The sequence below is a fragment of the Homo sapiens genome, chromosome 5 (assembly GCF_000001405.40).
Source record: "Homo sapiens chromosome 5, GRCh38.p14 Primary Assembly".
In the NCBI taxonomy this organism is placed as follows: Eukaryota; Metazoa; Chordata; class Mammalia; order Primates; family Hominidae; genus Homo; species Homo sapiens.
Genome location: NC_000005.10, coordinates 18,521,915 through 18,545,669, shown reverse-complemented (window position 1 = coordinate 18,545,669; position 23,755 = coordinate 18,521,915). Strand labels below are relative to the sequence as shown.

Genomic DNA, 23,755 nt, shown 5'->3' with positions numbered 1-23,755 from the left:
TGAAACGACCCTCTTTTCAGTTTTACAACCCAGGAATATTTCTTCAAGGGTCTAAGAGCCAACTCTCTAAAATGTTATCAAGAGGAAAGAGCCCCTATCTCCCAATTTCTTCTGGAGTCAAATGTGTGCCTTGCTCAAGTTGCAAAGCTACTTTCTATCATAAAGATATGAGTTTAATTTTTTTGACAAAGCCAATTAGCACAAACGGTCACCCCAATTACTAGGTAAATTTAGGTGGAACTACATGTGACAAATGGTGCTGTCAAGTCCTCTTACTTGAGACTGGTTATGGCTTACCTTGAATACTTGTATGCAATGGATTGTATCTGCTTGACTATATACTAGGGTAAGCTTTCTTTCTGTCTCTGCAATCTCTTTAACAATTGCCTAGACAGAATGTGTTGCTCATCACATTCTGGCTTATGCTTATCCAATAATGAAGCAGTTATTTTTCTCTTCAACCTTTGTGGAGAGGAATTCTGAGTTGGCAGTAGATAGTGCTTTTAATATTTCCCCAGCAATATTCTACATAATTTTATATTTCAAATCTTTTTCCTGGTGAAGATCTTCAATGAATAGGGACAATATACATTTAAACTATTTTTTTTTTTTGCTGAAATGGGAATACACAAATATTAGAAAATTGAAAATTTCCATGAGTTAATATAGAACATTATACGTTGCATGTAAAAGTCATACAATATAAAAAGTCACACAACTAGTACGTTTAACATTTACAACAGCATTATGTGGAGACATCTCATACATACTATGTCATTTTCTCCATAAAATGAGTTTTTCCTTAACTGTATATAAGTTTATGTTAGCAGTGGCAAATTTGTACAGGCCTGTAGCAACCTCAATTCGAGGAGGCAGAAAGCAGAAGGAGGAACTGAGGCAAGTTTTAGAGCAGGAGTGAAAGTTTGTTAAAAAGCTTTAGAGCAGGAATGAAAGGAGGTAAAGTACTCTTGGAAGAGGGCCAAGCAGGTGACTTGAGTGATCAAGTGTGCAGTTTGACCTTTGACTGACAGTTTTATATGCCGGCATGCTTCTGAGGTCTTGCATCTCTTCTCCCCTTTTCTTTCCTTGGAGAGGGCTGTCTGCATGCACACAGTGGCCTGCCGGCACTTGGGAGGGCAGCATGCTCAGTGTGTTTACTGGAGTTGTACGCATGCTCACTTGAGACATTCTTCGCTTACCAGTCAATTGTCTCTAGAAGATCATATACCAGTTAAACGCCACCATTTTGTCTCTTAATGAGCATGCTTGACCCCAGGTGCCCACTCCTGAGATTTTATAGGAAGGCTGTTGATCACCAGTTTCATGTATTTTTTATCTACTGGGAGATTCCCTTTCACTGGTGCTAGCTGTGATCAATTATAATTTTAGAGTGAGTTTAACAACCTCCTGACCATCACCTGATGGTTGCCTAATATTCCTGGTGTGTGGCAGTGGGGACCCTCTCCTGTCCTGCTCATGTCTGACTAGATTACCTACTGTAACATCCGCATATGCAAAATATCAGGCAAGTCCTTACTAGACAACATGATCTATACAGAATAACCTAAAACAGCTCTTTCTCTTTTGCTTTTATTTTTCCCTAGTCCCAGGACTATCTTACTCTAAAGATTTAGATACTAGATACAAACTTTCATGCGCGTCCCTGTGAAGAGACCACCAAACAGGCATTGTGTGAGCAACATGGCTGTTTATTTCATCTGGGTGCTGGCGGGCTGAGTCCGAAAAGAGAGTCAGCGAAGGGAGATAAAGGTGGGGCCATTTTATAGGATTTGGGTAGGTAAACGAAAATTACAGTCAAAGGGGGTTTGTTCTCTGGCGGGCAGGAGTGGGGGTCGCAAGGTGCTCAGTGGGGGTGATTTTTGAGCCAGGATGAGCCAGGAAAAGGACTTTCACAAGGTAATGTCATCACTTAAGGCAAGGACCGGCCATTTACACTTCTTTTGTGGTGGAATGTCATCAGTTAAGATGGGGCAGGGCATATTCACTTCTTTTGTGATTCTTCAGTTACTTCAGGCCATCTGGGCATATATGTGCAAGTCACAGGTGATGCGATGGCTTGGCTTGGGCTCAGAGGCCTGACATTCCTGCCTTCTTATATTAATAAGAAAAATAAAACAAAATAGTGTTGAAGTGTTGGGGCGGCAAAAATTTTTGGGGAGTGGTATGGAGAGAGAATGGGTGATATTTCTCAGGGCTGCTTCAAGCGGGATTAGGGGTGGCGTGGGAACGTAGAGTGGGAGAGATTAAGATGAAGGGAGGTCTTGTGGTAAGGGGTGATATTGTGGGGATGTTTGAAGAAATATTTGTCGTATAGAATGATTGGTGAAGGCCTGGATACGGTTTTGGATGAATTGAGAAACTAAATGGAATAACAGAAGGAGAAAAACAGATATAAAAGTTCTAAGAATTGGGACGACTCAGGATATCTGATTAGAGAGTGCCTAAGGAGATTCAGCATAGTCCTGCCAGCAAAGATTATTTATTTACTTCAAGAAGTAAGAGTGGCAGTTTGGGGATAGCACCAGGAGATATCAGCTGTGATGGCTTGGAGAAACAGTGTAAACCGGCAGTGTAAACAAGAGCAGGGCATGTATGAGTAGTTGAGAATGGTGAATAGGAGCATGACTAGACAGAAGATAGTAGGGATGACAAGTTTTTTGGGGGGCACAGTCTAAGTTGGTCTGGTGTCTGGAATGAGACTGGGGCCTAATAAAAAGGAGTGTCTATACAGGAGGTTAAATGGGCTGTACCCTGTAGCATTCCAAGGACAGGCCTGAATTCTGAGAAGGGAAAGTGGTAAAAGTATTGTCCAGTCCTTTTTAAGTTGGTGGCTGAGCTTGGTGAGGTGTGTTTTTAATAGACCACTAGTCTGTCACTGAATACTAAGAGCCTGAAAAAATGCTTGGCTGATCTGACTAATAAAGGCTGGTCTGTTATCAGACTGTACAGAGGTGGGAAGGCTAAACTGAGGAATTATGTCTGACAGAAGGGAAGAAATGACTGCAGTGGCCTTCTCAGACCCTGTAGGAAAGGCCTCTACCTGTCTACTGAAAGTGTCTACTTAGACTAAGAGGTATTTTAGTTTTTGTGACTGAGGGCATGTTGAGTAAAGCTAATTTGCCAGTCCTGGGTAGGGGCAAATCTTCAAGCTTGATGTGTAGGGAAGGGAGGGGGCCTGAATAATTGCTGAGGAGTAGTAGAATAGCAGATGGAACACTGAGAAGTTATTTCCTTGAGGATAGATTTCCACGATGGAAAGGAAATGAGAGGTTTTAAGAGGTGGGCTAGTGGTTTGTACTACAGCATAGCCTGCCTTTGCTGGTGTGTGGCGATTAGGCCTGGTGGAACTGCCATCAATAAATCAAGCGCGATCAGGGTGAGGAACAGGAAAGAAGGAAATATGGGGAAATGGGGCGAATGTCAGGTGGATCAGAGAGATACAGTCATGGGGGTCAGGTGTGGTATCAGGAATAATGTGAGAGGCCGGATTGAAGTCCGTGCCGGGAACAATGGTAATTGTGGGAGACTTAACAAAGAGTGAGTACAGCTGAAGGAGCCAGGGAGCAGAAAGTATATGCATCAGGAATAAGGAAGAAAATAGATTTCTGAAGTTATGAGAAATGTAGAGAGTGAGTTGAGCATAGTTTGTGATTTTTAGGGCCTCTAAAATATTAGGGCGACAGCAGCCGCTGTACGGAGACATGAGGGCTAGGCTGAAACAGTAAGGTCAAGTTGTTCGCACAGAAAGGCTACAGGGTGTGGTCCTCGCTCTTGTGTAAGAATTCTGACCACACTAACCATGCCTAGGAAGGAAAGGAGTTGTTTTGTAAGGGATTGGGGTTTGGGAGATTAATTGGACACGATCAACAGGGAAAGCACTTGTGTTGTGTTTTTATGAGAATTATGCCAAGATAGGTAACAGATGAGGATGAAATTTGGGCTTGACTGAAGTAATGGAGGCTGTCTGTGAAACCTTGCAGCAGAACAACCCAGGTAATTTGCTGAGCCTAATGGGTGTCAGGGTCAGTCCACGTGAAAGCGAAGAGAGGCTGGGAAGACGGGTGCAAAGATAGTAAAGAAAGCATGTTTGAGATCCAGAACAGAACAATGGATCGTGGAGGGAGGTATTGAGGATAGGAGAGTATATGGGTTTGGCACCATGGGGTGGATAGTGAAAACAATTTGGTTGATAAGGCTTAGATCCTGAACTAACTTGTAAGGCTTGTCTGGTTTTAGAACAGGTAAAATGGGGGAATTGTAAGGAGAGTTTATAGGCTTTCAAAGGCCATGCTGTAGCAGGTGAGTGATAACAAGCTTTGATCCTTTCAAAGCATGCTGTGGGATGGGATATTGGCATTGAGTGAGGTAAGGGTGATTAGGTTTTAATGAGATGGTAAGGGGTGCATGATTAGTCACCAAGGAGGGAGTAGAGGTATCTTATACTTGTGGGTTAAGCTGGGGGAATACAAGAGGAGAATGCAAAGGAGGCTTTGGATTGGGAAGAAGGGCAGCAATGAGATGCAGCTGTAATCCAGGAATAGTCAGGGAAGCAGATAATTTAGTTAAAGTGTCTCGGCCTAATAAGGGAACTGGGCAGGTGGGGATAACTAAAAAAGAGTGCATAAAAGAGTGTTGTCTAAGTTGGCACTAGAGTTGGGGAGTTTTAAGAGGTTTAGAAGCCTGGCCATCAATACCCACAACAGTTATGGAGGCAAGGGAAACAGGCCCTTGAAAAGAAGGTAACATGGAGTGGGTAGCCTCCGTATTGATTAAGAAGGGGATGGGCTTACTTTCCACTGTGAGAGTTACCTAAAGTTTGGCGTCCATGATGGTCTACGGGGCTTCTGAGGCGATTGGGCAGCGTCAATCTTCAGCTGCTAAGCCGAGAAGATCTGGGAAGGAGTCAGTCAGAGAGCCTTGGGCCAGAGTTCCAGGGGCTCTGGGAGTGTCTGCCAGGTGAGTTGAACAGTCCGATTTCCAGTGGGGTCCCGCACAGATGGGACACAGCTTAGGAGGAATCCTGGGCTGCAGGCATTCCTTGGCCTGGTGGCCAGATTTCTGGCACTTGTAGCAATCTCCTGTGGGAGGAGGTTCTGGAGGAACGCCTGGCCACTGCGGTTCATGCATTTGGAAGTTCTTGTGTGCTGGAGATGTGGCTGGGGTTTGTCTCACAGTGGAGGCAAGGAATTGCAACTTTTTTTTTTATTATTGTACACCTTAAAGGTGAGGTTAATAAGTCCTGTTGTGGGGTTTGAGGGCCAGATTCTAATTTTTGGAGTTTTATTTAATGTCGGGAGCAGATTGGGTAATAAAATGTATATTGAGAATAAGATGGCCTTTTGACCTTTTAGGGTCTAGGCTTGTAAAGCCTCTCAGGGTTGCTGCCGAACGAGCCATGAACTGGGCTGGGTTTTTATATTTGATGAAAAAGAGCCTAAACGCTATCTGATTTGGAATAAAGAAAAAGCAGCATTAACCTTGACTATGCCTTTGGCTCCAGCCACCTTTTTAAGAGTAAATTGCTGTGTAGGTGGGGGAGGGCTAGTCACAGAATGAAACTGTAAGCCAGACCAGGTGTGAGGAGGGGAGGCGATAAAAAGATTACAGGGTGGAGGGGCGGAGGCTGAGGAAGAATTGGGACCTAGCTTAGGCTAGTGAGGAGGGGAGAGGTCAGATGGGTCTGTAGAAAAGGAAGATTAGAAAGACTCAGCGCCGCTTGGGGTTGGGACTGAGGGGACAAGCGGGAGGGAAAGAAGGAAGATTTGGGACGAGTTGCACTGGGCACAGAGACTAGGGAGGGACTGATGTATAAAAGAATGCCTGGACGTCAGGCACCTCAGACCATTTGCCCATTTTACGACAAGAATTATTTAGATCTTGTAGGATGGAAAAATTGAAACTGCCATTTTCTGGCTATTTGGAACTACTGTCGAGTTGTATTGGGGTCAAGCGGCATTGCAGAAGAAAATAAGGCATTTAGGTTTTAGGTCAGGTGCGAGTTGAAGAGGTTTTAAGTTTTTGAGAAGACAGGCTAAGGGAGAAGAAGGAGGAATGGAAGGTGGAATCTTACCCATAGTGAAGGAGGCAAGCCCAGAAAAAAGAGTAGAGACATGGAGAAGGGGTGGGGGGATCTAGCCCTGCAGAAAAGCAGAGAAGGGGTTGGGGCATGGAAATAAGGGATTGGGGCACAGAGATAAGAGGTTGGGGTGCGGAAATAAGGGATTGGTTTCATGCGCATCCGTGTGAAGAGACCACGAAACAGGCTTGTGTGAGCAACATGGCTGTTTATTTCACCTGGGTGCTGGCGGGCTGAGTCCGAAAAGAGAGTCAGCGAAGGGAGACAAGGGTGGGGCCGTTTTATAGGATTTGGGTAGGTAAAGGAATATTACAGTCAAAGGGGGTTTGTTCTCTGGCGGGCAGGAGTGGGGGTTGCAAGGTGCTCAGTGGGGGTGCTTTTTGAGCCAGGAAAAGGACTTTCACAAGGTAATGTCATCAGTTAAGGCAAGGACCGGCCATCTACACTTCTTTTGTGGTGGAATGTCATCAGTTAAGGTGGGGCAGGGCATATTCACTTCTTTTGTGATTCTTCAGTTACTTCAGGCCATCTGGGCACATACGTGCAAGTCACAGGGGATGCTTGCACAGGGGATGCGATGGCTTGGCTTGGGCTCAGAGGCCTGACATTCCTGCCTTCTTATATTAATAAGAAAAATAAAACAGTGTTGAAGTGTTGGGGCGGCGAAAATTTTTGGGGAGTGGTATGGAGAGAGAATGGGTGAAATTTCTCAGGGCTGCTTCAAGCGGGATTAGGGGTGGCATCGGAACCTAGAGTGGGAGAGATTAAGCTGAAGGGAGATCTTGTGGTAAGGGGTGATATTGTGGGGATGTTAGAAGAAACATTTGTCGTATAGAATGATTGGTGATGGCCTGGATACAGTTTTGGATGAATTGAAAAACTAAATGGAATAACAGAAGGAGAAAAACAGGTATAAAAGGTCTAAGAATTGGGACGACTCAGGATACCTGATTAGAGAGTGCCTAAGGAGATTCAGCATAGTCCTGCCAGCAAAGATTATTTATTTACTTCAAGAGTTAAGAGTGGCAGTTTGGGGATAACACCAGGAGATATCAGCTGTGATGGCTTGGAGAAACAGTGTAAACTGGCAGTGTAAACAAGAGCAGGGCATGTATGAGTAGTTGAGAACAGTGAATAGGAGTATGACTAGACAAAAGATAGTAGGGATGACAAGTTTTTTTGGGGCACAGTCTAAGTTGGTCTGGTGTCGAATGAGACTGGGGCCTAATAAAAAGGAGTGTCTATACAGGAGCTTAAATGGGCTGTACCTTGTAACATTCCGAGGACAGGCCTGAATTCTGAGAAGCGAAAGTGGTAAAAGTATTGTCCAGTCCTTTTTAAGTTGGTGGCTGAGCTTGGTGAGGTGTGTTTTGAAAAGACCTTTAGTCCATTCTACTTTTCCTGAAGACGGAGGACTGTAAGGGATATAAAGGTTTCACTGAATACTAAGAGCCTGAAAAACTGCTTGGCTGAATTGACTAATAAAGGCTGGTCTGTTATCAGACTGTATAGAGGTGGGAAGGCTAAACTGAGGAATTATGTCTGACAGAAGGGAAGAAATGACTGCAGTGGCCTTCTCAGACCCTGTAGGAAAGGCCTTTACTTATTCAGTGAAAGTGTCTATTTAGACTAAGAGGTATTTTAGTTTCCTGACTCAGGCATGTTGAGTAAAGCTAATTTGCCAGTCCTGGGTAGGGGCAAATCCTCGAGCTTGATGTGTAGGCAAGAGAGGGGGCCTGAATAATCCCTGAGGAGTAGTAGAATAGCAGATGGAACACTGAGAAGTTATTTCCTTTGAGGATAGATTTCCATGATGGAAAGGAAATGAGAGTTTCTGAGAGGCGGGCTAGTGGCTTGTACTATAGCATAGCCTGCCTTTGCTGGTGTGTGGCGATTAGGCCTGGTGGAACCGCCAGCAATAAATCAAGCGTGATCAGGGTGAGGAACAGGAAAGAAGGAAATATGGGGAAATGGGGTGAATATCAGGTGAATCAGAGAGATACAGTCATGGGGGTCAGGTGTGGTATCAGGAATAATGTGAGAGGCCAGATTGAAGTCCGGGTAGGAACAATGGTAATTGTGGGACTTTAAAGAGTGAATACAGCTGAAGGAGCCGGGGAGCAGAAAGTATATGCGTCAGGTACGAGTAAGAGAATAGATTTTGGAAGTTATGAGAAATGTAGAGAGTGAGTTGAGCATATTTTGTGATTTTTAGGGCCTCTAACAGTATTAAAGCAGTGGCAGCCGCTGCACGCAGACATGAGGGCTAGGCTAAAACAGTAAGGTCAAGTTGTTTGGACAGAAAGGCTACAGGGTGTGGTCCTGGTTCTTGTGTAAGAATTCTGACCACACTAACCATGCCTAGGAAGGAAAGGAGTTGTTGCTTTGTAGAAGGTGCTGGGGTTTGAGAGATCAGTCGGACAGGATTGGCAGGGAGAGCACGTGTGTTTTTATGAGAATTATGCTGAGATAGGTAACAGATGAGGAATAAATTTGGGCTTGATTGAAGTAATGGGGGCTGTCTGTGAAGCTTTGCGGCAGTACAGCCTAGGTAATTTGCTGAGCTTGATGGGTGTCAGGGTCAGTCCAAGTGAAAGTGGAGAGGCTGGGATTAAGGGTGCAAAGGAATAGTAAAGAAAGCATGTTTGAGATCTAGAACAGAATAATGGGTTTTAGAGGCAGGTATTGAGGATAGGAGAGTATATGGGTTTGGCACCACGGGGTGGATAGGCAAAACAATTTGGGTGATAAGGTGCAGATCCTGAACTAACTTGTAACGCTTGTCTGGTTTTAGGACAGGTAAAATGGGGGAATTGTAAGGAGAGTTTATAGGCTTTCAAAGGCCATGCTGTAGCAGGTGAGTGATAACAAGCTTTGATCCTTTCAAAGCATGCTGTGGGATGGCATATTGGCATTGAGTGGGGTAAGGGTGATTAGGTTTTAATGAGATGGTAAGGGGTGCATGATCGGTCGCCAAGGAGGGAGTAGAGGTATCTTATACTTGTGGGTTGAGGTGGGGGGATACAAGAGGAGGACGCAAAGGAGGCTTTGGATTGGGAAGAAGGGCAGCAATGAGATATAGCTGTAGTCCAGGAATAGTCAGGGAAGCAGATAATTTAGTTAAAGTGTCTCAGCCTAATAAGGGAATTGGGCAGGTGGGGATAACTAAAAAGGAGTGCTTAAAAGAGTACTGTCTAAGTTGGCACCAGAGTTGGGGAGTTTTAAGAGGTTTAGAAGCCTGGCTGTCAATACCCACAACAGTTATGGAGGCAAGGGAAACAGGCCCTTGAAAAGAAGGTAATGTGGAGTGGGTAGCCTCCGTATTGACTAAGAAGGGGATGGGCTTACCTTCCACTGTGAGGGTTACCCGAAGTTCGGCGTCCGTGATGGTCTAGGGGGCTTCTGAGGCGATCCAGCAGTGTCAGTCTTCAGCAGCTAAGCCAAGAAGATCTGGGAAGGAGTCAGTCAGACAGCCTTGGGCGAGAGTTCCACGGGCTCTGGGAGTGGCAGCCAGGTGAGTTGAACATTCTGATTTTCAGTGGGGTCCCACACAGATGGGATGCGGCTTAGGAGGAATCCCGGGCTGCGGGCATTCCTTGGCCCAGTGGCCAGATTTCCGGCATGTGTAGCAAGCTCCTGGGGGAGGAGGTTCTGGAGGAATGCCTGGCTGCTGCCCTTCAGGCGTTTGGAAGTTCTTGTGTACTGGAGATGTGGCTGGGGTTTGTCTCACAGTGGAGGCAAGGAATTGCAACTTTTTTCTGTTATTGTACACCTTGAAGGTGAGGTTAATTAAGTCCTGTTGTGGGGTTTGAGGGCCAGATTCCAATTTTTGGAGTTTTATTTAATGTCAGGAGCAGATTGGGTAATAAAATGTATATTGAGAATAAGACGGCCTTTAGACCGGAAATAAGGGATTGGGGCATAGAGATAAGAGGTTGGGCTGTGGAAATAAGCAATTGGGGCACAGAGATAAGAGGTTGGGGTGCAGAAATAAGGGATTGGGTGCAGAGATATAAGAGGTTGGGGCGCAGAAATAAGGGATTGGGGTGCAGAGATATGACGTTGGGGCGTGGAAATAAGGGATTGGGGCGCAGAGATATAAGAAGTCGAGGGTCGCAAGGTGCTCAGTGGGGGTGCTTTTTTAGCCAGGATGAGCCAGGAAAAGGACTTTCACAAGGTAATGTCATCACTTAAGGCAAGGACCAGCCATTTACACTCCTTTTGTGGTGGACTGTCATCAGTTAAGGTGGGGCAGGGCATAGTCACTTCTTTTGTGATTCTTCAGTTACTTCAGGCCATCTGGGCGTATACATGCAAGTCACAGGGGATGCGATGGCTTGGCTTGGGCTCAGAGGCCTGACACAAACTTCTAAGTATAATTCGAGGACAGAAGCTCTGGTTTTATTGAATTACATGGCACAGCAGAAATCAGTCTTAGGAAAAAATTATATTGCAGAGAGTCTCCAGAATCATCTCATTACACGTTCTACACATGTACCGAAATTTCACAAACACCCCATGTAAACCTAAAAGTATCTGAGACAGGTCTCAATCAATTTAGATGTTTATTTTGCCAAAGTTAAGGACATGGTCCATGACATAGCCTCAGGAGATCCTGAGAACATGTGCCCAAGTTGGTTGGGTTATAGCTAGAATTTATACAATTTAGAAAAACAGAAGTTGCAGATAAAGACATAAGTCCATACATGTAAGTTATACATTGATTCAACCTGAAAAGGCAGGACATCTCAAAGTGGGGGTGGGGTGGGGAGAGTTAGGGAGGTTGGGGGGGGGGTCCAAGATCATAAGTGGATTCAAAAATTTCCCTTTTTTTTCTTCTTCTTTTTTTTTTTTTTTTTGATGAAGTCTCATTCTGTCACCCAGGCCGGAGTGCAATGGTGTGATCTCAGCCCACTGCAACCTCCGCCTCCTGGGTTTAAGCAAATCTCCTGCCTCAGCCTCCTGAGTAGCTGGTATTACAGGTATGCACCACCACACCCAGCTAATTTTTGTATTTTTAGTAGAGATGGGATTTTGCCATGTTGGCCAGGATGGTCTCAAACTCCTGACCTCAGGTGATCCACCGGCCTTGGCCTCCAAAAGTGCTGGGATTACAGACATAAGCCACCGCATCCAGTCAGACTCAAAGATTTTCTGATTGGCAATCAGCTGAAAGAGTTAAACTCTTCCTGAATAGGTGAAGTCAGCTTGAGTTAAGTTAAGGTGGGCGGTTGTGGAAGCCAAAGTTCTTGTCATGTAGATGAAGCTTCCAGGTAGCAGCTTCAAAGAGAATACATGGTAAATGGCTTTCATCTGAAATTACAAGGTGTCAGACTCTTAATTAAATTTACTCCTGGATGAGGGGAAGACCTAGAAAGGGAAGTGGATTCTCTACAAATGTATATTTCCCACACAAGAGGCCACTTTGCAGGGCTTTTAATAAATATATCAAGGAAATATATTTTAGGGTAAAATACTTTGATTTCCTTTTAGGCCTGTTATCTGTCATGTGATGCTATACCAGAGTCAGTTGAAGTTGATATCTAATTGCTACCAAGAGTCTGTTCTGTTCATCTTAGGATATCTATTTTCATGTTAATACTGGTCAGTTGTGTCTAAATTCCAAAAGGGAGAGGATATAATGAGGTATGTCCAACCACCACTTCATGACATGGCCTTGAAACTGCCTTTGCAAAAATTATAACCGAGACAATTATTACATTGAGAGAGTCCTGACCTAACTGACTCCATCTTGCTTCTAACCTCTAAGCTATCCTTGTTCATTCCTGGGTTAGGCCAAACTAACTTTGGGAGGAACTTAGTTTATGGTTTAGCTTTGAAACAAAGACAATAACAGCCGTTTCTCAGACCAATGCCCCTTCCTACCTGGGGACTAGACTGCCTTTGCAGGTCTAATAAATTAGACACAAGATTAAAAATTATAGTTTAGGAGTCATGCAGCTGGAGGCTGCAAGATTCTAAACCACCCCAAATTGCTCCTGGGGATAACATAACTATTGTAAAATCTAAGATCAGTGCTTAAAATATTTTGCAGACCCTGCACACAATGGATCAGCTGGTGATATAGGATTTTTCTCAGCCCTGTCAATGAACTCAGGGAAGGGGCCCCCCATCCACTTGGCCCACTGTGCTCAACCCGTTGTGGGAGGGAGCATGTGAGCTAGTAAGTGTGGGATCTGGCTGGCCGCTCCAGGCATCAACACAGGAGTAAGCTCCATCCGGGGCCTGCGGCCAGACCAGGCATGTCACCTCGAGGACAACGCAGTGCCCAGGTGAGGATGCCCACAACCCTGAAGCCCCAAAGGGGTATCACAGAGCTCCTTTGGTTCTGTCAACCATGGATGGCAGTGTGTTAGCAGCTCAACTGGCCCTTTGAATCGTCATTCAGGGCAGCTGCCCTCCACTGGTGAGGGCAAAGGGCCAGTGTGACAGTATTTCTGAGTACTCACACTTGGTGTGTCCCAAACTCTTGTCCAGCATACAAGAAGAATGAAGTCGTGAAGATGATTGAAAGATTGTGAAGGCGAACAGTTTTATACAGTGATGAAAATGTCTCTTAGCAGAGAGGGGAGCTGGAGAGAGGGCAGGAAGGGCAGGTCCTTTTCCCCAAAGCCAGGTTGTCTCTCCCCTGAAGTCAGGCCATCTTCTCCTCTACTGACTGAGTCTAGGGTCTTCATAGACACAGGATGGGGAGTGCATACCAATTGGTTTGTAAGTATGCAAAAAAGGTTAAGGCGAAGACACCACTCAAAGGTGGGCATGACAGTGTAGAAAGCCAATTAGGAAAGGGTAGGCATATGTAAAATAGGTGAAGGGCAGGGATCAATCAGAGGAAAGCACACCAAACTGGAAGACAAGTTCTCACTCTTGTCAGGATTTAACTTGTAGCTTGACTTTCAGGCTGTAAACTGTCTCTGGCTTGGAACTGGGCTTCACCCGGTACCCACTCCTATCTGCCTAGACATTTTGCTGCCTCCTATCATTGTCACTGGCACCACCAGGATTATAAAATTTGCTCATTTTGTCTTGTGGCCCCCACCCAGGAACTGACTCAGCTCAAGAGAACAGCTTCAACTCCCTCTGATTTCATCTCTGACCCGACCAATCAGAACTCCCCACTCCCTGTCCCCCTACCCACCAAATTATCCTTAAAAAACTCTGAACCCTGAATGCTTGGGGAGACTGATTTGAGCAATAATAAAACTCTGATCTCCTACATGGCCAGCTGTAGGTGAATTACTTTTTCTCTATTGCTATACCCCTGTCTTTATAAATTGACTCTGTCTAGGCAGTGGGCAAGATGAATCCTTTAAGCAGTTACAGCCTGAACTCATTTTTCAGGTTTCTTTGTAATCTCCTTGGCTGAAAGGGTGACCTATTCAGTCAAATGAGGGGCTTAGAATTTTAATTTTGGTTTGTACCCATAAATATGTGCAAATATAATGTATTAAACAATTTTCATAAAAATAATTAAAATAGTTTTCAAATGACAATATGTAGGATATAATATGCGGTAGTCACTCATCTTCTTTCCTGCATACCTATCCAAGATATTGATTTTTTTTAAGGTTAAGAAAAATGCAGCAAATCAGAAAAAAACAAAACAAAACTGTTTTTTGCTCTGTGCACATTAACTTGTATATAGACTCTGCCCTTTAAGGTAAGCCCTGTGAGTTATTTGAAATCTTTTGCTTCTGAATTCTCAGCCTACTTGGCTTATTTTATCTGAAAGTCAAGACCTTGTTAAATATAGGCATAAAGTAAAATATCTTAAACCTTTCAGCAAAGTATGGCTCTCCTTCCTACCCCATCCCACTCTCTGCACTGGTGGCCTCCCTTACAATGTTATATCTGTTTACTTCTGTCAATCAATAAAAATGACAAAAGCCTAAATCATTTTAGGTTTATTTGCAAAGTTAAGGATGTACATGAAGAAGACGGGTCTATGTCTTTCTTCAAAGATGATGTTGAGGGCTCCAAATTTAAAGGGAAAAGGACGGGATATTGAGAAGTACACAATTTTCATGTAAGAGGGGGGTAGGGAAAAATAGTTATTGATTCCTTTGTCTGGCTCAGTGAATCTGCATTTTTTTGACATAAAATGGCATAGACAAATGGAGCAGAGAAAAAATTCAGGGAATCTGCATTTTTCACATAAGATAACATAGATAAAATGGGGCAGGGGGACAATCAGATATGCATTTGTGTCTAGTGGGCAGGGGGCTGACTGCACCTGTAAATATAAGCTTCAATTTACATTGCTATGGTGAAATCTTAACAGAAATCCCTTAGGGTAAAGATCTTGGCGCTTACTAGGAATTTGCTTGTGGGCAAAAAAATACACGGAAAGGAATTTCCATGTAGCTTTTCAGCTTGTAGCAAACTTATTTAGGAACCAAAAGGAGAGGGGGAGTTCCCAGCTCGACTTTTTGTTTAGCTTAGTGATTTTGGGGCCCCAAGATTTAGTTTCATAACTTGATCACTTTGAAACTAATATGTAATTGAAATATTTATTATTTTTATATTCACTTTTTTCCTCTGACTAGAATGTAAATATTATGAGAGTAGATATTTTTGTCTATTTCTTTCATTAACATCTGGCAGATAAGTTGTATTCAATACATGTTTATGAAGTAAACTTCTAGAATAGCATGAGTTCAATGAATGCTACTTGAATTTGAATATCAATTAAAATTGTGCCAGATCTTCAAACCATTATCCATTTATATGGAGTGTTCTTATAATGATTACTTAATTTTATTGGATGGAACTTCAATAGATTTTTTTTTTTATTGAAAGAAAACTCAAAAGCCATACACATAACCTCATACCAAGGTCTCTGAAAGAAAGTTTGTAACCTCTGAACAACTTTACAGAGGTGTCTACTTGACAACACAGCACACTCCATTTTTTAACCAGTTATGTTGGTAATGTCGATCTTAGAACATGCCAAGCTATTAATTACAACTTTCCCTCATGGCAATACATTCTCACATCAGCCTTCAGGGATGAAAGAGGGAAGCAACCATGGGCTTAGCCAGGTCAAGTGCTAGAGGTGGGACTAGCATGGCAATGGATTCAGAGGCATTAGATTTAGAAGCCTGTAGAGCATGTTAGGAATAGACTCCCTAGGACATTCAAGCAAAAGCTGAGGGCCAGCTTTTTGAGATATTAGATAAATGGGAATATTTTCAGACAGGAAGAAAGCATGAGGACAAACTAGAAGAGAAGGAATTCTAAATAGTTTCCTCTACCAGTTCATACCCACTATAAAATCTATTTCCACCATAAAAATCTAAATACACATGTGAGCTTTGATTAGAGTAAAAACTATAGTCTCCCTATAATTTAATATTATAGTTATATTCATGAAGCCTGTTTATTCTTGATTTTTAGCAGACACATACTTTTGGCGAAAAGCAGTTAATACTGAGCTTGAAGAAAATTAACTCCATTAGAAATCTTCATCAGGATTTAGTACTAAGTCAGGACTTCCTTAACCAGGCTTTGTGCGATAGAGTCTGTGAATACAAAATTAGGGCTTACTTTCTTCCCATTTTCAATCTAATTAGTAGAGACTATCCTCTTGCTTTGCCAATAATTGTATTTTGATGCTAGCAATCAACCTTTAAGCTATCCCTTCTAGATGTGTTAAATTCATGAACTAAATAAGGTATGCTTTCCTTTTTTTTTTTTTTCCCTATAAAATGCTTAAAGGTTGGAATGGTCAATGGGGTGAAGAAGCCAGGGCATACCCTGAAAGACCTACTAGAAAATGACTATGCCAAGTGCTTAGCTGTGTGCTCGACTTTAGTTATTTCCTTTAATTTCCACACCGTAATTAATAGATAAAAATAAAGCTCCAATAAAATTAAGCAGATCATTCAGGGATCATTCACTAATTAAGTGATTGAAGAAGAATGAAACCAGGCTCAAAACCAAAAACTCATATTTATTCTGTTGTATTCTGTCCTGTTCTATCCTATTCTATTTGATTCCATTCTATTTTTGGTTTTGTCAAATTGTACTTAATTTTGTTCCCCATCACATTACTGTAATTTTAAGATGTCTTTGCAGACAGTGATATTTAAAACTACAAATGGTGCTTTGATCAAATCTAGATAGTTTGTTAGTATAATAATGGAAAGAGAATTGGTACATTTGAGTTATTCTTTCCACTGTGTTATGCTGCTTGTTATTGTCCTAGAATTTTGCTACAGAATATTCAACCCTGTAAGATTAGATGGCTAAAGTATTGACATAATTTGTAATGATTTCTCACATATGACTGACAGAAGTTTCTAAATAATGATTGCACTTTTGTTTCTTTGCTTTGTTTTGGTTTGGTTTGTTTAAATTCTGGCTTATAAATCACTCAGCCTGGAGACAAGTTCATTTAAAGCCAGATAATTCCCTTTGACTATTTTTTCCTCTTACACATAAGTTTAAATATACTTGATTTACTCCATAAATTTAAATATAATCAACTCTGGAAGTTCATTTTGCTTAATAGGAGAAAAACCTGTAGATTATTTCTGTTCTATGTGTCTTTTGTTAACATTGCACTATTTGTCCCAAGCAGTGGTTTATTCTTTACTTCTTTTTTTTTTATTTGAATAAGCATAAAAAATTAACTGACATCTAAAAGTTTTACATTTAAAAACAGCATTAAGTATCTGTATCACAAAATAGGAATTTGTTTAAAGCCTTCTCTTGACATTCCCAGTGGAAAAAAAAAAATGTCTAAATTGATCAAACCATGACCCTAGGTATATTCTCTATTCCACATAGCTCAATGTCAATTAAAAACTAAATCATGCCTTTATTTTTTGGGTTTTAAATCTAAAATACAAGTATATTAATGTTTTGATTGTTTTTAAAAATACAGAAAAACATGGTAAAAATAAAACATTGCTGTATAGGCAAGTGTTTAATATTTTAAATCGCCATGATTTACATGTAATAAGAAATGCCCATCTTTCTATATCAATACATACAAAAACAAAACAACTAAAAATCCTCAATTTTATTGCTGAATTTTATTGTATGGCTTAATTATACTAAATAACTTATTACTAGACATTTGGATTGTTTACATTTTAGGGGCATCAATAGTAAATTGCAGTCAAAATTCTTTTTTACAGTCCAATCTTAATTTGATTGAGGTTCTAAAAATCAACTGTCAAAGTGTACTATCTCAGTTACAAGTCTGTACTGTTCAAGTTTTTAAAACACATTATTAAACTACTGTCTAGACATGCCATACCAATTTATATTGCAAACTTTAATGTATAGCCATCTATTTTCCTAAATTGTAGAAAAAGCTTGATATTACCATTTAAAATAATGTTTGGCTATCTATTGAGTCAAGAATAGTACTACACTTTTACTTTACTTGGCATATTTAAATCCTAATAAGACTAATCATGTTTTTGCGTACTTTTCATACAGTGCTTTCTTATTGTGCTTAACCAAAGTGTTTTAAGAACCCTTGCATGCCTGGTTCGCCAGAGTTCTTTCTGATAGAAAAATAAACTGGCCCGGTGTGGTGGCTCATGCTTGTAATACCATAACTTTGGAAGGCTGAGGTGGGCAGAACCTTAAGAAATAAAGTGTGAAAATGTATAGTCATATCCAAAGTAAAATTCAAATAGAATTGATCTCTAACATTTTTTTCCTCTTTGACAAACAAATTCTGTATTGCCTAAAACAAATTGTCTTGCCAGAAACAAATTTCAAAAGAAATATTTCAACCATGTTGTCCAACTGCCATAACATTTTTAAAGCACAAAATTTATTAAACAGATCAAGATAAATGAAACTCAGATTTATAAAAAAATTTACAATAACTTAGAAAAAACATCCTACTCCTCTGCCTGCTTCTGAACTATTCTAAAACTTTCCAAGTTAATGGAGTATCTTATGCTGTCTCAAAATGAGGAGCAGTTACTAAGTCACATAATTTCTAAGCACTCCCTTCTTTCCTATGAAACATTGGTTTCACACTGAACACTTACCCAAACATCTCTATTTCATCAGAAGGCTTTTGTCAACAGAAAATGGACCAAAACATTTTGTTGCTTTTGACAACAAAAGAGTTATAAATCTCATTTTACTACCATACTTAAGTAAAAATTGTAATTTTATTCTATTTTAACTCAATTGCTTATTGCCCTCAGATTTTTAAAAATTAATAGACGAGAAAATATTGTTTTAAAAAGTAACATCATATGGTTGTAGCTGTGGCATAGCAAAAAAACAGGCCCACTCAAGGTCTGCTCTGAATGTAGTGCTGCTGGCCTCTGTTATAACAACCCAAAATGGGAAATCAAAGGTTGATGCCTCTGCTGGTCTGCTGTCATATTGTCCCTTACCCAGGCAGTAAGTACTGTGATTTTGGTCAGCTTTATGCTTTCAGCAGAACAAAAAGGCTCTTATTCATAATAGTGCCTGGCCACTAACCTGTTGGATTGGTCTGACTGGGTGAGGGTCAGCTCTCCAATCTCTGTAAATTACATATTATTTTTATTGTTCTGCCTGGGAGCTTGTAACATTTTCTCTTTGTCCTTGGCATTTTGTAGCTACAGCCGGATAGGACTAGATTTGCCCTTTCTTACCAAGCTGCCTGGAACTCTGTGAACATTTTCAATTTTCTGATTCTTAGTGCAAGGAAATTTTATGCTAACGTGTGTGTGTGTGTGTGTGTGTGTGTGTTGTCTCATCTCCTCTATATCTATGTTTATTTTTTTTTCATTTTCTGAACCTTATTATTCACATGAGAGTTTTCCTGGATCTAGAAATGAAACATAAGTCTGAGGACTGTGTGCTAGGTAAATACTTCCCATATGTTGTATGAGCAGCAGTCCTACTTAATGAAACCTCTGGATTCTTAACTTTTTCCCCTGGATTTCTAGGTCTGTGTATATTCGTTATAACTTTTCAGATGTTTCTTTCACTTGGTTGTCCAGATCACCAATTCAGGTCTTAACATTGACCATCCTTTTATTTTTTTCCTATTCATCTACTAAAACATTTGAATATTACTATATCTTAGTGACACAAAAATATTTGTGTGCTAGAATACATTTTCATGAAGTACTCGTTGTGTTATTGTTGTTTGCATTGAAGTTGATATCTACTCTCATGAATTGGTATTTCTCTAAGAATAGTCTGTTTCTGCACTTCTGTGTTTTCTTCTCCATGCTAGGTCCAGGGTGCATGCTAGTGTGTATTCATTGGCCTCAGCTAGTCATTGAAGGTCATATCTAGTTGTCGGGCATCCTAGGCCATAGTAACTCCCCCAGGCAACTGTCTGTGTCGTGGTCTTTTTTCCTATGAGCCTGTGGTGTCCCAGCCACCAAGTTGGAAGTAGTGGCTCCAGGAAAAAATACGTTTCCACATTCACTGATTCAGTGGCAGGGGTAGTAGGAATAAAAGCTCATTTAGTTTCTCCTGCTTTCCTCAGCTGGCCCTCCACCATAGTATCTCCCTAGTGGGGCTACACTTCCACTGCAGGATGTATGTGGATTTACCCATGTGGAATACCCTGCAGGATGATGTGTTTTTTGAGATGGAGTCTCCCTTTGCCGCCCAGGCAGACCACAGGTGATCAGCCCACCTTGGCCTCCGAAAGTGCTGGGATTACAGGAAAGAGCTGCCACGTTCTGCCTTAACTTTATCTCTTGAGATATCAATACTTCTCTTTTTCAAACCTAATAGTTAATGACAAACATCCAATGCCTAACATTTAGAGTTGGAGAAGATACACTAATGAGCTAATATGTGCCCTAAGTCTACCAATTAAAGAGCCTGTTCTATAATTAGCATGGTATCATCTAATATTTTGTCTACACATACTTAACAAAGGTATAATATACATAACATATTAAAATGTGTTTTGGTATAATTTGGCTATTTCCATTGGGTGAAAAGATATGAAAACAGTCTATTGTGAGACATTTAATATTAAGGCTTTTCCCCATATTTGGCTTTCATAATACAGTAACAGCTAAGTAATACTGATTACATAATGTCACACTAGAATACTGCTTTAGATACATATTCTGCATTTTTAAGATAACCTATTATGCAGGTGTTTTAATTTTGTTTTATAAAGTTTGTCTTGATTCAAAGTTTAGGCTGTTTCCCACAGAATAAATTAATAATTACATATATATATTTTAGAGATTTCTATTCAAAAATTATTTAAAATAATATAGGAAATGGCATTATAAAATATAATTTGTTCATATTTTAATGCAAATACATACCTCTCTCAAAGCAAATGACTAATTATTTGCAAATTAAATATGTGACTCTTCCTCACAAAGATAAATTATTATCTACTATTTGTATTCTCACATCATCCAAAGCCTGCAAGCTTATACCTACTCTTTGTAATACAAAGCTGTTCATAGCTGACTGGAGTTAGGGAAGTTGTTACATTTCATAAAGGCAAATAAAACTTAAATAGTTTAATAATATGTGGATATGTGTGTGCATATATATGTATACATATATGACAAGATATAAACTTATCACAAAATTGATGATGCTAATCTAGATTTTCACTTTACTGCTTTGCATTCTTAAATCATCATAAAATGAATGATTAAAAAATTACAGCATCATAGAAATATGTATAGGTCTAAAATGTAATTAACATGTTTTGCTTTCAATGTTTATGTGCAAAATTAATATACATGATCACTAAGAGATTATTTCAATACAATAAATAAAATCCACACAGAGGCATTGAAACTTAGAGATAGCTCCTTAATTTTGAGAGATTGTTGTCTCAGATACAAAGCATTAGTTATGAAATGTGGGCTTATTAATTTATGATACCTGCAAATAAATATGTAGCCAGTAACGTTTTCTTCCTAATTTTATGTATTCATTTTCAAATGCCTTATGAAACTTCTGTATTTATTTTAATTTAATTTTTGATGTGTCAAAAGTGTAGTCTCAGAAAATTTCACCTAAGACCCTGGCATAGTCGTTCATACCTGTAATCCCAGTACTTCGTGAGGCTGAGGCTGGAGAAGTACTTGAAGCCAGGAGACCAGCCTGGGCAACAAAGAGAGATCCTCATCTCTACAAAAATTAAAAAAAAAAAAAATCCAGGCATAGTGGTGCATACTTGTTTTCCCAGCTACTTTTGGGGCTGATGCTGGAACCTTGAGCCAAAACTTGGAGGCTGCAGTGAACTATGATTGTGCCACTGTAATCCAGCCTGAGCAACAAGTGGGACACTGTCTCTAAAAAACAAAGAAAAAGGAAAGAAAATTTATCTATATTGACTTTAATGACTTTGTGCTATTTACAAAGACAGTTCTAATTAGATATTGAGATTCATATAATAATTTATATGAGGCATCACAATCCATCAGTGTTACATCTCTCTGCCCTTAGCTATTGCTTGCACTGAACTTAAATATATTTTTCAGTATATTTGGATAACAATTACTATTGCAAAAGAATGAACATTGGGGTTTAGCCCAAGCAAAATCAGTATGTATAGAGCCAATGAAGGCATTGTATTTGCTTTATGCCAATTTTTTCATGACAGTTATACCAACTGGGAACTTGAAGTAGACTTTTAGTCTTTTACTACTTTAGGAGAATATTTATTTGATTTATAGCCAAAATGTGAAGATGGAATTGTTTTCTCCAAAAAACATGCACTCCATTTAAAGTGTTTCTCCATCATCAAATATACTTTTTAATAAAATGAAAGTGTATATTTATTTTTACAAATCTCACGTTTTGCATCGTTTGAAGTGTAATATATGACTTGCACTAATCTTGGTAGTTCTTGAACAATACATGCTCAAATGGTAAAAATTTGTTTAACTAAATGGCACATAGGCAAAGAATAAAACTGCTGTCAAGGATACAATATAGTCACATTAGGCATCTACACTTTGAGAAGGGAGTACAGCTACCAAGACAAATTAATCTCTTGGGAATTATAAAGCCACGCTTTACATTACAGCAAAAATATCAATGAAGCAAAGTGATCTACCCTGAAAGTTATTAGAGAAGCCTGAGAGGAAGTGAAATGTAAGAGAATAAACCTTACAAGAGAATGTAAATTCAGAACCCTGCCAAAACTAATGATGATGCCCATTTGAATTATATCTTGAACATTATAGAGCATAGGTGTACTGTTTATCAGATTAGATCTCATGCAATCCTGGCCCAATTATAGTCTAGTTTCTCCCTGCTCCATATTGATCCCCTTTACAGGTGTCTTATGTTTAAGACACCTAACTGTAGTTTACAGCTGAGGCTGTAATGTGCCTCACATTACAGTGATGTGGGGCTGGGACTCTGCAGATTACAACTGTCTTTACCAAATGACTTCCAGGTAGTATTTGCTAAAACCTGTCACAGAGTCAGATTGGAAGGCAGGAGGAGGGGGAAAGACTTCTGCCTTACCATATGCTTGAAGTTTCTGGCAGACCCGCCTGAGCAATGATGCTTCATCACAACAGTGCTCCCCAAACCAGCCTTACTACTGAATCCCATAAGAGATACTAGCAGCAGTTGAATTGTTCTGCTCTCTAAGAGACCTGGGTGCATGTCCCTTAATTCTGATATACTGAAATTTCACCTTTGTTTCCTCAGTCCTAGGGACAGAGGCTAATTGTACAGTTATTACTTCTGGGTTATCTCAATGCTCTTTTTGTGTTCTTCCATCTGTCAAATTCTGATGTTACAAATCCTTATATCAAATTCACTTTGCTAAAATATCCAGTGAACTTTAGAGTAGCCTAACCATACTGATAAAGATAACCTGGCGACTAATGATCTCCACATATTCAATTAAATATCCCAAGTATTTATGGTTCAAAAGTAAGATATACTGTCAGTACCCCAGCTGTAAAGCCACTACCATTTTTACAGCTTGGGAAACAAAGTGGCTGCCCAAATGTGTTCTATGTGGTTTAATTTATTATCCTCCTTCCTACCAGACAGAATTAATCACTGAACAACTTCATTTCCCAATTAATGGTGATCAGTTGTTTTTATTTCAGAAATATTCTGTTTGTTTAGGTTTATTTCACTCTTTGTAATTTATTGCCTTAGTGATAATTCAAGCTTTTATTGTTCAGAAATAAGACAGTGTCAGTGCCTCAGCTATAAACTACTGTTAGGTGTCTTAAACATATATAAATATAAGTAATAAGATTACTCTAGGGAGATAGCTGGAATAAAAATAGAAGCGTGGGGACAAGTAATAGGAACATTAGATGTAGAATAGTTTGGTTGGAAAATAATGCTTATTATCAGCATTATTTATGCTTAACGATAATAGAGCTAAGAATGGAAGCTGCCACACCTTACAGTATATTTAATGGTGGATTTGCATTTCTCAAATTGATTCAGTAGACATAGAAAATACACTAAATAGCACAGGCATCTCAACATCTCTCTCAGAAACTGAATAATATAGTAAATAGACAAGAAAAATAAGGTTTGCATCTGTTGTGGAACAAAGGAAGAATGCTATTTATATTTATAGTGGGTGCTACGGACACAGTCAAGTCTCCCATTCAAAGACGGAAACACTCAGGGTCCAGCTGTTAGGACTGTTGGCTCCAGACTCCGCAGACCTGACTGTTGCTGCTG

The 23,755-nt window shown here is 40.2% G+C and overlaps 4 annotated features.

Annotated features, from left to right (window-relative positions):
• Positions 1,554-2,068: an enhancer, noted in NCBI's record as "OCT4-NANOG-H3K27ac hESC enhancer chr5:18543711-18544225 (GRCh37/hg19 assembly coordinates)". NCBI's record gives its function as "activates a minimal SCP1, AML or CMV promoter by ChIP-STARR-seq in naive H9 embryonic stem cells {active_cell/tissue: H9 hESC(naive)}" and the evidence as "EXISTENCE:reporter gene assay evidence [ECO:0000049][PMID:30033119]".
• Positions 5,921-6,630: an enhancer, noted in NCBI's record as "OCT4-NANOG-H3K27ac hESC enhancer chr5:18539149-18539858 (GRCh37/hg19 assembly coordinates)". NCBI's record gives its function as "activates a minimal SCP1, AML or CMV promoter by ChIP-STARR-seq in naive H9 embryonic stem cells {active_cell/tissue: H9 hESC(naive)}" and the evidence as "EXISTENCE:reporter gene assay evidence [ECO:0000049][PMID:30033119]".
• Positions 9,146-9,871: an enhancer, noted in NCBI's record as "H3K4me1 hESC enhancer chr5:18535908-18536633 (GRCh37/hg19 assembly coordinates)". NCBI's record gives its function as "activates a minimal SCP1, AML or CMV promoter by ChIP-STARR-seq in naive H9 embryonic stem cells {active_cell/tissue: H9 hESC(naive)}" and the evidence as "EXISTENCE:reporter gene assay evidence [ECO:0000049][PMID:30033119]".
• Positions 9,872-10,598: an enhancer, noted in NCBI's record as "NANOG-H3K4me1 hESC enhancer chr5:18535181-18535907 (GRCh37/hg19 assembly coordinates)". NCBI's record gives its function as "activates a minimal SCP1, AML or CMV promoter by ChIP-STARR-seq in naive H9 embryonic stem cells {active_cell/tissue: H9 hESC(naive)}" and the evidence as "EXISTENCE:reporter gene assay evidence [ECO:0000049][PMID:30033119]".